Consider the following 16,036-nt stretch of genomic DNA (forward strand, 5'->3'; position numbering starts at 1 on the left):
TTTAATTTTTACTTAAATAATTTTTATATTTGCATAAGAATGCCAGGTCATAGTAAAAGGTTCTAAAAGAGCTATTTTACTAAAACCTTTTAAGGTAGATTATCCTTCGTAAGCCACTTGGGATAAAAGGTGACAGTGAACTAAAAAGACAAACGGGAATTTCATTTTTTCTATACGTGTGTGTGTGTGTGTGTGACAGACACACACACATACACACAGAACTTAACAAAAATTAAATGAAATTTAATGAAAATGTAAGACATGGCAGGACTAAAAACTCATCAAGTAGCTGTTAAAAATCCCATCCCCCGCTCTCCCTTTCCCTCCCACACTCTGCAAGCCTCCCTCCCTCACATCCCACAAGTACTTAAAGTCTATTATACTAAAACAATACAAAGAGCTGGATTTTTTGGTTTGTGTTTTGAATAATTAAGTATCATGGTTGAAAAACCATAAGGCAGAGCCAGCAGTGACCATGAGAATAAAACATTTTTTTGCTAGATTTTGAATCTCTGCAGGCTATGGAAAAGGGTCAAACTGACCTCATCTATCACTTATGGGCCAAGCTAGTCCAACTAACATCTGGAATCCACATGTGGCAACACAGGCTGCCTCTTCTTATCTCACTTCCTATCTTTATAGCAGTGTTGGGAATGTGCATATTTGCACTTTTGGAGAGGGTTCATCGGTGTAAGATTTAAGGCACTTCCACAAACATACAACCTTAGATTTGCTGGTTCGTTTTCCATGTGCTTGGGAAAGAGCTGCTCAGAGAGGACTGTGTAGGGAACCTCCTTGCTCCCTCTTCATGTCCAAGACTATGCCTGGATTTTTTTGTTCGTTCATTAATTTCTTCACTCATTAATTCAACAATTACTTATTGAGAGCCTAGTATGTGCCAAGCATTGTTCTGGATACTGGGGATCGGCAGCAAATAAAATAGACAAAAATATCTATCTTCATGGAATTTATATGCTAAGTCATTTGTTCAACCATGTGTTGCACTAGGACTTGGGTCTGATTTGACAGTTTCATTGGGGGAGGAGAAAATAATCACATTAGCATACAGCATGATAAGTGCTCATACAAAGGTAAGCACATGGTACCATGCAGTGAGTGAACCTATCCTGGGGAACCAGGGAGAGCTCCCAGTGGCGATGTGAGACTTGAGTAGGAATTACTTAGATGTCATAGTCCATTTAGCATTGATATAACAGAATGCCTGAGGCTGGTAATTTATAAAGAAGATAGGTTTATTTAGCTCATGTTTCTGCAGGCTGGGAAGTTCAAGATTGGGCAGCTGCATCTGGTCTTCCATGCTGCCATGCTGCTTCCACTTATAGCAGAAAATGGAGGCAGAGTGGGTTGTGCAAGAAATCACATGGTGAGAGAAGAAGAGAGAGCAAAATGAAGGAAGCCAGAACACTTTTTTTTTTTCTCAGAGACAAGGTCTTGCTCTGAACTCAGGCTAGAGTATGGTGGCACAATAATACCTCTTACTGCAGCCTCCAACTCCTGAGCTCAAGGGAGCCTCCTGCCTCAGCCTCCACAGTAGCTAGGACTACAGGTGCACTGTCACTGTTCCTGGAAAATACATACATATATATAGTGTGTGTGTAGATTGGGGTCTTGCTTTGTTGCCTATGCTGGTCTCAGACTCCTGGTCTCAGGCAATCATCCCACCTCAGCCTCCCAAAGTGCTGGGATTACAGGCCTGACTCTTTTTAACAACTGGCTCTCATAGGAACTAATTTATTCCTGTGAGAGTGAGAACTCACTTACTGCTGAGGTATCACGAGGAATCTGCCACAAGAACCCAAACATCTCCTACTAGGCCCTGCCTCCTAAAACCACCACACTGGGTATCAAGTTTCAACATGAGTTTTTCTGGGGACAAACCATATTCAAACCACAGCACTAGGTGAGAAACTGGGGCAGGCATTCCTGGCAGAGGAACAGTAGTATATGTAGTGGCCTGGGGGAGCTACCCTCCAGTGTGGGATGGAAGGGGAGGAGTGGAGGCAGATGAGGCTGGAACTGTAAGCAAAGTTTCATTATTGAAGGCTGATATGGTTTGGTTGTGTCCCCATTCAAATCTCAACTTGAATTGTATCTCCTAGAATTCCCACATGTTGTGGGAGGGACCCAGGGGGAGGTAATGGAATCATGGGGGCTGGTCTTTCCTGTGCTAGTCTCATGATAGTGAATAAGTCTCACGAGATCTGATGGGTTTATCAGGAGTTTCTGCTTTTGCTTCTTCCTCATTTTCTCTTGCTGCCTTAATGTAAGAAGTGCCTTTTGCTTCCCACCATGATGCTGAGATGTCCCCAGCTGTGTGGAACTGTAAGTCCACTTGAACCTCTTTTTCTTCCCTGTCTCAGATATGTCTTTATTAGCAACATGAAAACAGACTAATACAGTAAATTGGTACCAGGAGTGGGGTGTGGATGAAAAGATAACCGAAAATGTGGAAGCAACTTTGGAACTGGGTAACAGGCAGAGGCTGGAACAGTTTCGAGAACTCAGAAGAAGACAGGAAAATGTGGGAAAGTTTGGAACTTCCTAGAGTCTTGTTGAATGGCTTTGCCCAAAATGCTGATAGCAATTTGGACAATAAAATCCAGGTTGAGGTGATCTCAGATGGAGATGAAGAACCTGTTGGAAACTGGGGCAAAGGCGACTCTTGTTATGTTTTAGGAAAGAGATTGGTGGCATTTTGTCTCTGTCCTAGAGATTTGTGGAACTTTGAACTTGAGAGAGATGATTTAGGGTATATGGTGGAAGAAATTTCTAAGCAGAAAAGCATTCAAAAGGTGACTTGGGAACTGTTAAAAGCATTCCATTTTAAAAGGGAAACAGAGAATAACAATTCAGAAAATTTGCCGCCTGATAATGGAGTAGAGAAGAAACACCCATTTTTTTGAGGAGCAATTCAAGCTAGCTGTAGAAATTTGCGTAAGTAGCAAGGAGCCTATTGTTAATCCTCAAGACCATGGGGAAAATGTCTCCCAGCCATGTCAGAGACCTTCATGGCAGCCACCCCCATCACAGGCCTGGAAGCCCAGGAGGAAAAAGTGGTTTCATGGGCTAGGCCCAGGGTCCCTGTGCTGTGTGCAGCTTAGGGATTTGGTGACCTGTGTCCCAGCTGCTCCAGCCATGGCTGAAAGGGGCCAACGTACAGCTCGGGCTGTGGCTTCAGAGGGTGGAAGCCCCAAGCCTTGGTAGCTTCCACATGGTGTTGAGCCTGTGGGTACACAGAAGTCAAGAATTGAGGTTTGGGAACCTCTGCCTAGATTTCAGAAGATGTATGGAAATGCCTGGATGCCCAGGAAAAAGTTTGCTGCAGGGGTGGGGCCCTCATGGACAGCCTCTGCTAGGGCAGTGTGGAAGGGAAATGTGGGGTTAGAGACCTCACACAGTGTCCCTACTGGGGCCTTGCTAGTGGAACTGTGAGAAGAGGGCCACCATCCTCCAGACCCTAGAATGGTGGATCCACTGACAGCTTTCACTGTGTGCCTGGAAAAGCCACAGATACTCAATGCCAGCCTGTGAAAGCAGCCAGGAGAGAGGCTGTACCTGCAAAGCCACAGGGATGGAGCTGCCCAAGACCATGGGAACCCACCTCTTGCATCAGCATGACCTGGATGTGAGAACTTGGAGTCAAAGGAGGTCATTTTGGAGCTTTAAGATGTGATTGCCCTGCTGGATTTCAGACTTGCATGAGCCCTCTAACACCTTTATTTTGCCCAATTTCTCCCATTTGGAATGCCTATATTTACACAGTGCCTGTACCCCCGTTGTTTCTAGGAAGTAACTAACTTGCTTTTGATTTTACATGTTCATAGGTGGAAGGGATTTGCCTTATCTCAGATGAGACTTTGGACTGTGGACTTTTGAGTTAATGCTGAAATGAGCTAAGACTTTGGGGGACTGTTGTGAAGGCGTGGTTGGTTTTGAAATGTGAGGACATGAGATTTGGAGGGGTCAGGAGTGGAATGATATGGTTTGGCTGTGTCTCCATTCAAATCTCAACTTGAATTGTATCTCCCAAAATTCCCACGTGTTGTGGGAGGGACCCAGGGGGAGGGTAATTGAATCATGGGGGCTGGTCTTTCCTGTGCTGTTCTCAAGATAGTGAATAAGTCTCACAAGATCTGATGGGTTTATCAGGGGTTTCTGCTTTTCCTTCTTCCTCATTTTCTCTTGCTGCCACCATGTGTAAGTGCCTTTCACCTCCTGCCATGATTCTGAGGCCTCCCCAGCCATGTGGAACTGTAAGTCCAAGTAAACTTCTTTTTCTTCTCAGTCTCAGGTATGTCTTTATCAGTAGCGTGAAAATGGACTAATACAAAGGCCTCGTGTGTGATGATGTAACAGCTTCCTATTGCTGCTGTAACAACTTGGCTGAACACAAATTTATCATCTTATAGTTCTGAAGGTCAAAAATCCAAAACAGCTATCACTAGGCTAAAATCAGTGTCAACAAGGCTGCATTCCTTTCTTCAACATCTAGGGGAGACTCCATTTCCTTGCTTTTTCCATCTTCTAGAGGCCACCTACATTCTGGGCTTGTCACCCCTTCCTCCATCTGCAAAGCAGCACCATAATGTCTTTAAATTTCCCTCTGACTTGTGCTTCTGTTTTCTACCTTTAAGAAAAGTAGAAATGTGATTAAATTGAGTCCACCTGGATAATCCTGAATCACATCCTCATCTCAAGGTCAGCTGATTAGCAATTTTAATTTCATCTGCAATCTTCATTCTCTCTTTACATCCAAGATTATATATAGTCACAGGTTCTGGGGATTAGGATGTGGACATCTTTGGGGGGCAATTATTCTGCCTATTACAGAAGGGCAGCTAATACTGAATGTAAGCAGAGGAGCAATATGATCAGATTTGCATTTAGAGTAATTGCTGTTATGGTTGTGTGGAGATTGGGCTGGTGGTGGGTTGGGTAGGCTAGGGCAGAATGGAGCTGGGGGTATCTTACAGAGATTTTAAGTGAAAAGCCCAGTTAAGAGACTGTTTCAGCAATTAAGTGAAAAATGACATGTGTCTGTATGCATATACTTTAGGTAACTTAACCCTAGGGTTCTTAGAAAAGTTTAATCTAATTAAGTTTGAGACATACCTCATAGTGTGGAGAAAAAGAAATTGTTTTTAAATCCTAAAGTCATGATTAACTTTGGAACAAAGGTTAACTCTTCATATACAGTTTCCTTACTTTTCCCAAGAAGAAATGTTTTCTTAGTTTGTAAAATAAGGATGTTGGACTAGATTGCCTCTAAAGTTTTCTCCTTACTAACATCTCTGACTCTATGAACAGAAGAGGAGAATTGTTTCCATCTTACCTAGATTGTGGCTTGGAGATAAATTCACAAATAATGAAAAAGACCTTTGCAAACATAAAAACAGAGCTACTGCTAAAGCCAAGTGCTTTCATTTACTGAACTACAAAAGACTAAAGAAAAATGGATGGATATGTGAAATACAAACAATTCTGTGAATCCCAAGAGCTGGAGACTCCATGAAATTCTCAGAGTGTTTTCACAGGAAATATAGCAGGCTTTAGCTTCACTTCTTTTTACCCTCGTGGATGGGAAGAATGGACTGAGAGGTGGATTCTTACCATGTCTATCAGGACTTTTGGTGGCATGCAGCAGAAACTGACTGATATGGTTTGGCTCTGTGTCCCCACCCAAATCTCATCTTGTAGCTCCCATAATTCCCATGTGTTGTGGGAGGGACCCGGTGGGAGATGATTGAATCATGGGGCCAGGTCTTTCCCGTGCTGTTCTCATGATAGCGAATGAGTCTCATGAGGTCTGATAGTTTTAGAAAGGGGAATTTTCCTGCACAAGCCCTCTCTGCCTGCTGCCATCCACATAAGATGTGACTTGATCCTCCATGCCTTCTACCATGATTGTGAGGCTGCCCCAGCCATGTGGAACTGAAAGTCCAATTAAACCTCTTTCTTTTGTAAATTGACCAGTTTGGGGTATGTCTTTATCAGCAGCGTGAAAACAGACTAATACACTGACTCTGCCTTGGGAGGGTCTTGAGGCTGCTGATGGTCTGGGAGGCTGTGTGGACAGGGAGGACTGTCTGGAAGCAAAGAAGCACAGAGCCTCAGAGCTAACTGCATGGACAAGGGGTGCTGCGGAAACATCCAGGACATTGTTTAGCCCCAGCATCTGCAGAGAATCTGGGATCACGTTGTTTCCTCCATTTTTGTGTAACCAGCTGGAGAGTCAAAGCCCCCAGAGCAAACATCTGATTGGTACATGTCCACCTCATTAGCTAGAGAGGAAGCATCCATCCACCTCAGCTTTGCCTCCTATCTGGCTCACTATTCACAATACGAAATCTCCTACAAGGGAGAACAGATTTGAAAAAGTGTGTGGATGTGGGAGTGGGATGGTTGGTTGCCAGATGGCCAGAAAATAACAAACGTCTTCCTATTTTTGTTTTTCTCCCTGGTCCTTTGGCCTCCTCTTGGCTATCTTTTCATTTGTTAACTTACTATAAGGGAGATATGTCACATCCATCTAGACTGGTGATTAAAGTAGGATCTTAATTACCAGGATGAGTCAGGGAATGAGATTTAAAGAGTCACTTTGATTCTTTTGAGATTGCCATTCTGATATCACATCACACTGTAAATGGTAACCCCCACCCCAAGGCAGATTAGGTGGAATTTTTCCAGCCAATTTCTAACTGGTCTTTGTGTTGCAGACATAGCTTATGACTGCTTCTCAGCCAAGGTTGTGCAGGCAGATGGACAGGGGGTGGCTAATAGCCCATAGAGATGATTGCTTTGGGAGATGGATGCATTTGTGACAGTGATGTTTGACCACACAGCCCATGACGCTTAGCTGGTTCAGTACTGTCCTTGCTATGTAGTAATTCTCCTAGTCAGTGCTCAATGGCAGAGATTAGCTAAATTGACTGCTTTGTTCTCTGGAAGGGTCTGTTTACTGTTAATAGGACCAGAGATAGAAAAGGATATTAATTAGTGCTAAATTCCCCCATCATATTGATCCAGAGTGAGAAAACAGATGAAATCCAGCCACTTGGGAAGAAAATGTCTGGATTTTAAGGGGTCACCCTGTGTGTGTCTCTCTGTTTGGCAGAGAGACTGGAACAAGCACAGGCTTGCCAGGAGGAGAGGAGCCAGGGGGCCAGAGTGGAGAGCTCCAGTTCTATGGTTGTCCCTAAGATGCTGGTTGCACAGAAGCAGATAGAACAACCACTTTTTCCGAATTATTGTAATGTGTGTTTGTTTGTGTGTTTGTTTTGACCGAGCAATGGCTTCGGATGAATTGTTGTAATGCTGCAGAAATACCCAAAGCCAAGGATTTGGGGGTAAAAAGCAGCAGCAGCATTTAGTAAGTGGAATTTATACAATAACTCTCTCATCATTGTCTTATGATAGATGAAGATTCCTTGAAGCCTGAAGTGGGGAGGCAGAATATCTGAAATGAAAAGCAACTTCCTCTGTTTCCCATTGGACATCTTATTGTGCCAAGAAAGACAAAGGATGAGCATTCACAAAATGGTCACTCATGAAGCGTGGTGTTGCCAGCAAGCCAAATATGAGACATGTCTGTGCCTTTTTAGCCATTTATGGGTAGCAGCTGTTCAGGAGAGAAGGGTTGGAGGCTGTGTTCACTTTTGGCCACATTGCCTTCAGATCCATTCTGAAACCTTTCCCTGCTCTGCTATGGGTGGCAAATTGGGGGTGAGGAGGGAGCCTGCATTTCCAGGTGCCATTGTTTGCTGTCTTCTGATGGGCTTGGGACCATGGGAGACACTGGCAGAGACTGGAGGCCAGGAGGGCGGCAGGAGCTAGTGTTTCTCTCTGTCTCTCCAGGCTTTGGGCCTCATACTTTGCTACTGCTGTGACTCTTCTGTGGTGGCTCAAGTGTCCCTCTGCCCCCAACATTCCTGCCAGGGTTCTAGCTTCCACCAGGTGCCCAGTCTCTGGGCTCTGGTAATTCCATCTCTCCCCTTTTTCTTTCTAACCTGAAGACAGTAGTGCCTTCTCCAGTGTGGATAATCACCGAAGCACCTCGCTATCCCATCTAGCTTCTCAGCAAATTCCATCACCTGGGTAACCAAGTCCCTGCATTAAACTCTACTTTTAAAAATACTGAGATGATATTCCAAATTAGACCATGACTAATACAGGCAGAGAGGTGTCTTTCTAACAAGAAACATTCCAGAAACTATACAGGACCCAACCTGTCCACCCCCGACCATGGTTTGAAACAACAATCAGCTTCCTCCTTTATCGCTCCTGGGCTCCTCTGCTACAGACACTTGCATCTTTCTGTAGCCTGACACATCTTCAATTTCAGGTTTCTCATTCCATCTGAATTCTGAGCATCTCTCTGCCATCCTCGTGCCTGTCCTCAGAAGCAGCACTGTGTTGAGTAACAGCACTGGCTTTGGCATTGGGCAGACTTGTTTCAAATCTCAGTTAATATCTCCAAGCTCCAATGGCACTGTCCAATAAAGCACAATGAAAGCATCATGTGAGGTTTTACATTTTCTAGTACCATATTTAAACACATAAAAAGAAACAGGTGACATTAATTTTAATAATATATTTAACAAAGTAATTTCAAAAATCATGCAATCAATACAGAAATACTGAGATATTTTACATTCTTTTGTCTAATACTAAATCTTTGAAATATAGTATGTATTTTATACTTATAAAATATATTTTTTCTTTTTTTGAAATGGAGTCTTGCTCTGTCGCCCATGCTGGAGTGCAGTGGCGTGACCTTGGCTCACTGCAACCTCCACCTCCCGGGTTCAAGCAATTCTCCTGCCTCAGCCTCCCAAGTAGCTGGGACTACAGGCACACACCACCACGCTTGGCTAGTTGTTTTGTATTTTTAGTAGAGACCGGGTTTCGTCATGCTGGCCGGGCTGCTCTTGAACTCCTAACCTCAGGTGATCTGCTCACCTCAGCCTCCCAAAGTGCTGGGATTACAGGCATGAGCCACTGTGCCTGGCCCACTTATAGAACATTTTAATTCAGATTTGCCACATTTTAAGTACTCAGTGTTCATATGTGGCTAATGGCTACCTTACTGAACAGTGCAGATCTATAAGAAGAGATAATAAAATTGCTGTAGCCATTTTTCCTTTTTGTTTGTTAAAGGTTAGAGATAATATGTACAATGCTTGGCATACAGTAGGAGTTTAATACAGGTGAACTGTGATTATTATTAGCTATGAGTGCTCAATTTCCTTTCTGTTTCCTTTACCAGCACTTTGAAATTTTCATTGCTCTTCTCTCTCTTCATGGCTTTTACCATGATCTTCCATTTTCAATGGATAATCTTATTTTCCCCTTCAAAGAGAACAGTGGTCAGCTGAATATTTCACTTCACTGACTAGTGATCCATCTGTAATAGAAGCTTTATTAACTGATAGAATAATTTTCACAAATTGAAAAAGTTGGTTAAAATAAACAATCATTAAAAATAATTCATAGTGCATTAAATGTATTATCTTAAAACATAAAGAATGTGATTCCTGGGCAAGATGGCTGAGTAGGAATAGGTCTGGTCTACAGCTCCCAGTGAGACCAACGCAGAAGGTGGGTGATTTCTGCATTTCCAACTGAGGTACCTGGTTCCTCTCATTGGGACTGATTAGACAGTGGGTGCAGCCCATGGAGGGTGAGCAAAGGAAGGTGGGGTGTCACCTCACCCAGGAAGTGCAAGGGGTCAGGGAACTCCCTCCTTTAGCCAAGGGAAGCTGTGAGGGGCTGTGCCATGAGAGACTGTGCTATTCGGCCCAGATACCACACTTTTCCCATAGTTTTCACAACCCGTAGACCAGGAGATTCCCTCAGGTGCCTACACCACCAAGGCACTGGGTTTCAAGCACAAAACTGGGCGGCCGTTTGGGCAGACACTGAGCTAGCTGTAGGAGTTTCTTTTCATATCCCAGTGGTGCCTGGAAAGCTGGTGAGACAGAACCATTCACTCCCCTTGAAAGGGGGCTGAAGCCAGGTAGCAAAGTGGTCTAACTCAGTGGACCAATAGAACAGAACAGAGGCCTCAGAAATAACGCCACACATCTACAACCATCTGATCTTTGACAAACCTGACAAAAACAAACAATGGAGAAAGGATTCCATATTTAATAAATGGTGCTGGGAAAACTGGCTAGCCATAGGCAGAAAACTGAAATTGGACCCCTTCCTTACACCTTATACAAAAATTAACTCAAGATGGATTAAAGACTTAAACATCAGACCTAAAACCATAAAAACCCTAGAAGAAAACCTAGGCAATACCATTCAGGACATAGGCATGGGCAAGGACTTCATGTCTAAAACACCAAAAGCAATTGCAACAAAAAAATTGACAAATGGGATCTAATTAAACTAAAGAGCTTCTGCACAGCAAAAGAAACTACCGTCAGAGTGAACAGGCAACCTACAGAATCGAGGAAATTTTTGCAATCTATCCATCTGACAAAGGGCTAATATCCAGAATATACAAGGAGCTTAAACAAATCTACAAGAAAAAAAAAAAAAACTCCATTAAAAAGTGGGCAAAGGATATGAACAGACACTTCTCTCTCTTTTTTTTTTTTTTTTAGACAGAGTCTCGCTCTGTCACCCAGGCTGGAGTGCAGTGGTGTGATCTCTGCTCACTGCAAGCTCCGGCTCCCGGGTTCGCGCCACTGCCTCAGCCTCCTGAGTAGCTGGGACTAACAGGCGCCCACTACCACACCCGGCTAATTTTTTGTATTTTTAGTAGAGACGTGGTTTCACCATGTTAGCCAGGATGGTCTCGATCTCCCGACCTCGTGATCCACCCGCCTCGGCCTCCTAAAGTGCTGGGATTACAGGCATGAGCCACTGTGCAGACACTTCTCAAAAGAAGACATTTATGCAGCCAACAAACATGAAAAATGCTCATCATCACTGGTCATTAGATAAATGCAAATCAAAACCACAGTGAGATACCACTTCACGCCAGTTAGAATGGCAATCATTAAAAAGTCAGGAAACAATAGATGCTGGAGAGGATGTGGAGAAATAGGAACGCTTTTACACTGTTGGTGGGAGTATAAACTAGTTCAACCATTGTGGAAGACAGTGTGGCGATTCCTCAAGAATCTAGAACCAGAAATGCCATTTGACCCAGCAATCTCATTACTGGGTATATACCCAAAGGATTATAAATCATTCTACTATAAAGACACATGCACATGTATGTTTATTGAAGCACTATTCACAATAGCAAAGACTTGAAACCAACGCAAATGCCCATCAATGATAAACTGGATAAAGAAAATGTGGCACATATATACCATGGAATACTATGCAGCCACAAAAAAGAATGAGTTCATGTCCTTTGCAGGGACATGGATGAAGCTGGAAACCATCATTCTCAGCAAACTAACACAGGATCAGAAAACCAAACACCGCATGTTTTCACTCATAAGTGGGAGTTGAACAATGAGAACACATGGACACAGGAAGGGGAACATCACACACTGGGGCCTGTCAGGGGGTGGGGGAAAGGGGAGGGAGAGCATTAGGAGAAATACCTGATGTAGGTGACAGATTGATGGGTGCAGCAAACCACCATGGCACATGTATACCTATGTAACAAACCTGCACGTTCTGCACATGTATCCCAGAACTTAAAGTATAATAATAATAATAATAATAATAATAATAATAATAATAATAATAAAAAGAATGTACAGTCAGTTGACATTCTTTTGCTATATAGAACCACTTTTCTTTTTTGAGACAGGGTCTCGCTTTGTCACCCAGGCTGGAATGCAGTGGCATAATCTGAGCTCACTGCAGCCTCAACTTCCTGGGCACAAGTGATCCTTCTACCTCAGTCCCCCAAGTAGCTGGGACTACAGGTGTGCGCCACCACACTTGGCTAACTTTTTTGAATTTTAGTAGAGAAAAGGTCTCACTGTGTTGCCCAGGCTGGTCTCAAACTCCTGAGCCTAAGTGATCCTCCTGCCTCGGCCTCCCAAAGCACTGGGATTATAGGTGTGAGCCACTGTGCTTGGCTGGGCTACCTTCTTTTGAGGGTGGGTTAGCTGATTGGGTTCCCGTTGTGATATTCCCACAAATCACACATAACTCATTGTCCATGAGTCTAGCTTGGGATTCTTGAAAGTGGAGGAAAAACTGAAAAGTACTTTTTGAAGAAATATGATTGCAGAACACCCTCTATAATGTGTTGTAGTTGTCCCACCCACACCTACACTAATGACATTTTTAGTGAGCCACACTTGATAGACTTTATAAAGCAATTTTGTTTTTAAGAAAAGGCAACTCTTTTCATACATGCATTCTATTGTTTTATATAATATTTAATTAAAATTTGTAATTCCGATAAGAAATGCATAGGCATACTTTTTTCAAGGTTTTTAACTTGGAACCAACCCAAATGTCCAACAATGATAGACTGGATTAAGAAAATGTGGCACATATACACCATGGAATACTATGCAGCCATAAAAAATGATGAGTTCATGTCCTTTGTAGGGACATGGATGAAGCTGGAAACCATCATTCTCAGCAAACTATCGCAAGGACAAAAAAACCAAACACCGCATGTTCTCACTCATAGGTGGGAATTGAACAATGAGAACACATGGACACAGGAAGGGGAACATCACACACCGGGGACTGTTGTGGGGTAGGGGAGGGGGGAGGGATAGCATTAGGAGATATACCTAATGCTAAATGATGAGTTAATGGGTGCAGCACACCAACATGGCACATGTATACATATGTAACAAACCTGCACGTTGTGCACATATACCCTAAAACTTAAAGTATAATAATAATAAAATTAAAAAAAAAAGAAAAAAGAAAAATAGCTTCATATCCACTAGCATGATTGTATTCAAAAGCACATAATAACTTGTGTGGTCCATGTAGAGAAATTAGAATACTCATGCCTTATTGGTGGGAATGTAAAAGATTACAGGTTCTTTAAAAAACAGATTTTTCACCTTCTCAAAATGTTCAACATATGATCCATGAATTTCACTTCTACTTATATATTAAAGGGAAGTGAAAACACACTCCCACACAAAAACTATATACAAATGTTCAAAGCAGCATTATTCATGATAGCCAAAGAATGGAAACAATCCATGTGCCTTTCAACTGATGAATGGATAAATAAAATGTTGACTAACCATATAATGGAATCTTATTTGTTAATAAAAAATGAATAATTACAAATAAAAAAAAGAAATGCATAGGCATAAACAAGCTTGTGGAAAAAAAAACACCACAACAGAGTTTTTGTCAATGTAGAACTGGGGAAGCGGAAATGCATGGGTTCTAGCGAATGTCCAGTTGACCACACAGAATGCCAAGGGCATCCTTCAGGATGTTCTAGAAGAAGGAGGCAGAGTAGAGCACCATTTAATCAGTGAGTTGGTGAAGTGGAACTGATGATGAAAGTCCCCACTGTATCCAGATTGTCCTTATCTGCATTCATTGTTCTTCTTTTCATTCCTGCTCAGGGGAAGCTAGTTCCCTTATATAGTAGCCAGGAATTCTCTAGAGAAACAGAACCAATTGGATATAGATAAAAAGAGATTTATTAGAAGGTATTGGCTCACATGATTATGGAGGCTGAGAAGTTTCACAATCAGCAGATTTTCCACAGTCTGCAAGCTGAGGACCCAAGAAAGCCAGTGGTGTAGTTCAAAGGCCTGAGAGCTGGAGAGTGGAAGATGAAGATTTTAGTCCGGGGAGAACTGGGAACACTGAGGGTGGAGGGAGATGGATGTCACAGCTCAGAAGTCAGGCAAAGAGCAAACTTAGCCTTCCTCTGCTTTTCGTTCTATTCAGGCCCTTAACAACTTGCGTGATGCCCAGCCACACTGCGGAGGGCCATCTGCTTTACTCAGCCCACCAATTCAAATGCCAATCTCATCTAAAAACACCTTTGTAGATGCAGGCAGAAATAATGTTTTTCCAGCTAGCTGGGCATCCCTTGGTCCAGTCAAGTTGACTCATGAAGTTAAACCTTCACACCCTCCCATCCCAGGAAATCTCTCCACCTCTTCCCCAGATCCATCCAGCCCTGTCTACTCAGAACACTTGCTCTGCCAGTTGGCTACTCTTATTTTCCTGATCTTCTCCTCTTGTTCATTTCCCTAGACCTACAAGTATGCTAAGGACTTCCTAATGCTAAAAAGGATCATTAATGAATAAATGAATTGAGATGCAACATTTCACCAATAATCTGTTCCTTGATCTTGCTCTTTTATCCTTCTCTTCCCATATTTCTCCCCTTGCTGCCAGACTTCTTAAAGGAATAGCTGCACTTTCACTTCTCTGAATATTTCTTCTGTCTAATGCCTTCTGGCCTCCACACTACAGCTTTACTGAAATTGATCTTTCTAACACCCACACTATCCTTCTAATTCTCCATTTCATCCTGATTCTATTCCCCCTCTCCACATTGTCTGCTGCCCTTGGTAAACTCCTTTTCAAATTTTCTGCTCCTGTGACATTTGTGGCATCATCTTCTGAGTAATTATCTCTTCTTCTGATGTGTCTTTTCCGTCTCTCTGTGGTTTTCTCTTCCTTGTTCTGTCTCTTAAATGTTGGTGTTTCTTGGTGTTTCACTTTTCGTATTCATTCAACATATTGTCAGGGCCAGGGCCTGTGTTCTTTCCCTACCTGTCTGGAAGCTGAGCCGCAGATTCTGACACCCATCTCAGCATAGTCCTGGGGAGTAGGGCTGGGGTGTAGGGTGGGGACAGTGAGAGTTCTTAGAAGGAACTGATGTTTCTTATACAGATCAGTGCCTGAGTCTGGCCTTGGGAAGTAAAAGCTGGGAGGCTAGGGGAGACATCTGGGATAGCCAATGAGGGGAGAGGCAGTGGCTACGCTTCCCATGCTTGGTGGGGCAGGGACACTGGAATGCCCACAGGCACCCAAGATCTCTGTCTGGAAAGAACTCAGCCCTGGAGATCCAGCCCGCACCTAAGATCTTTGTCCTGAAAGAACTCAGCCCGTCACCCAGGCAGGGCAAAACTGTTGTGGTCACCAAGGGCAGTAGCACCAGGGGCAGGAATTGAGCCTGGATGAGAGGTCACTGCTGGTGCAGCACAAATGTCCCCCTTTGGCTGTCTCTGAAGGTCCCACTGCTTCTCCACTTCAAAGAGCCAGCATTTGGATGCCATTCATGACAGAAGGACCGGATAGCTAGGTTAAAGGTGTTTTTACTTCTTTTCTTTTCATCCTCTTTTCCTGTGCTTTCACTCGCTGCAAGGAGGGGCTTGAAGTACCAAGCAGGGGTGGCAGCAAGAGAGGCAGATGTGGGATAAGCAGAAGGAGAGCCTAGACTCTGCCTCTGTCACCTCTGGGCCCTGCAGAGAGTTACTGTCAGGGGAGAGGGGCACTAGTGGGCTGGGGAGAGAATCAGGTAGTAGTTAATGCACAGGTTAGGAAGTAGTGGTCTAAGCAATAGAGATAAGAATCATTAATTCAGGTGTTTGAACAGTCATCTTGTGGCAGGATCATGACTGTTTATGTCATTGGAATGAAAATGGTGAAATGTGGCCATGCCATTTCCAGTCACTCAATAGGTATTTATTGGATGCTTACCAGGTGACCAGTATATCTAGAGCTGGTCTTTACTTAGCACTAAGAAAGTTTCAAGCCCCTTCTTGGCTTTCTACAGCTGTTAGTAAGACTCTCCTAGTGACTCTCAGAAAGCTCCATCTTACTGAAGACACAGATGCATTCTTTGCTATCAATACCAGCATCGTTTAATCTAAAATGCATACACCGTAAATCAGAGGAGTGGTTCCATATTGAGGAGGGAATACTTTATTTTTGTACTCCAACAGTTTATTTTTCAAATATTTCTAAATGAACCAAGTGCCCAGAAATGGTGAAACTTTAATTCCTCCAGTTCCTGGTGGATAGGTTCAAAAGTGTGAAAACACTCACCACTATGTTCCTGCCTAAAATCCCTAGGAGAAGGGGGCTC

The sequence above is a fragment of the Homo sapiens genome, chromosome 8 (genome assembly GCF_000001405.40).
Source record: "Homo sapiens chromosome 8, GRCh38.p14 Primary Assembly".
In the NCBI taxonomy this organism is placed as follows: Eukaryota; Metazoa; Chordata; class Mammalia; order Primates; family Hominidae; genus Homo; species Homo sapiens.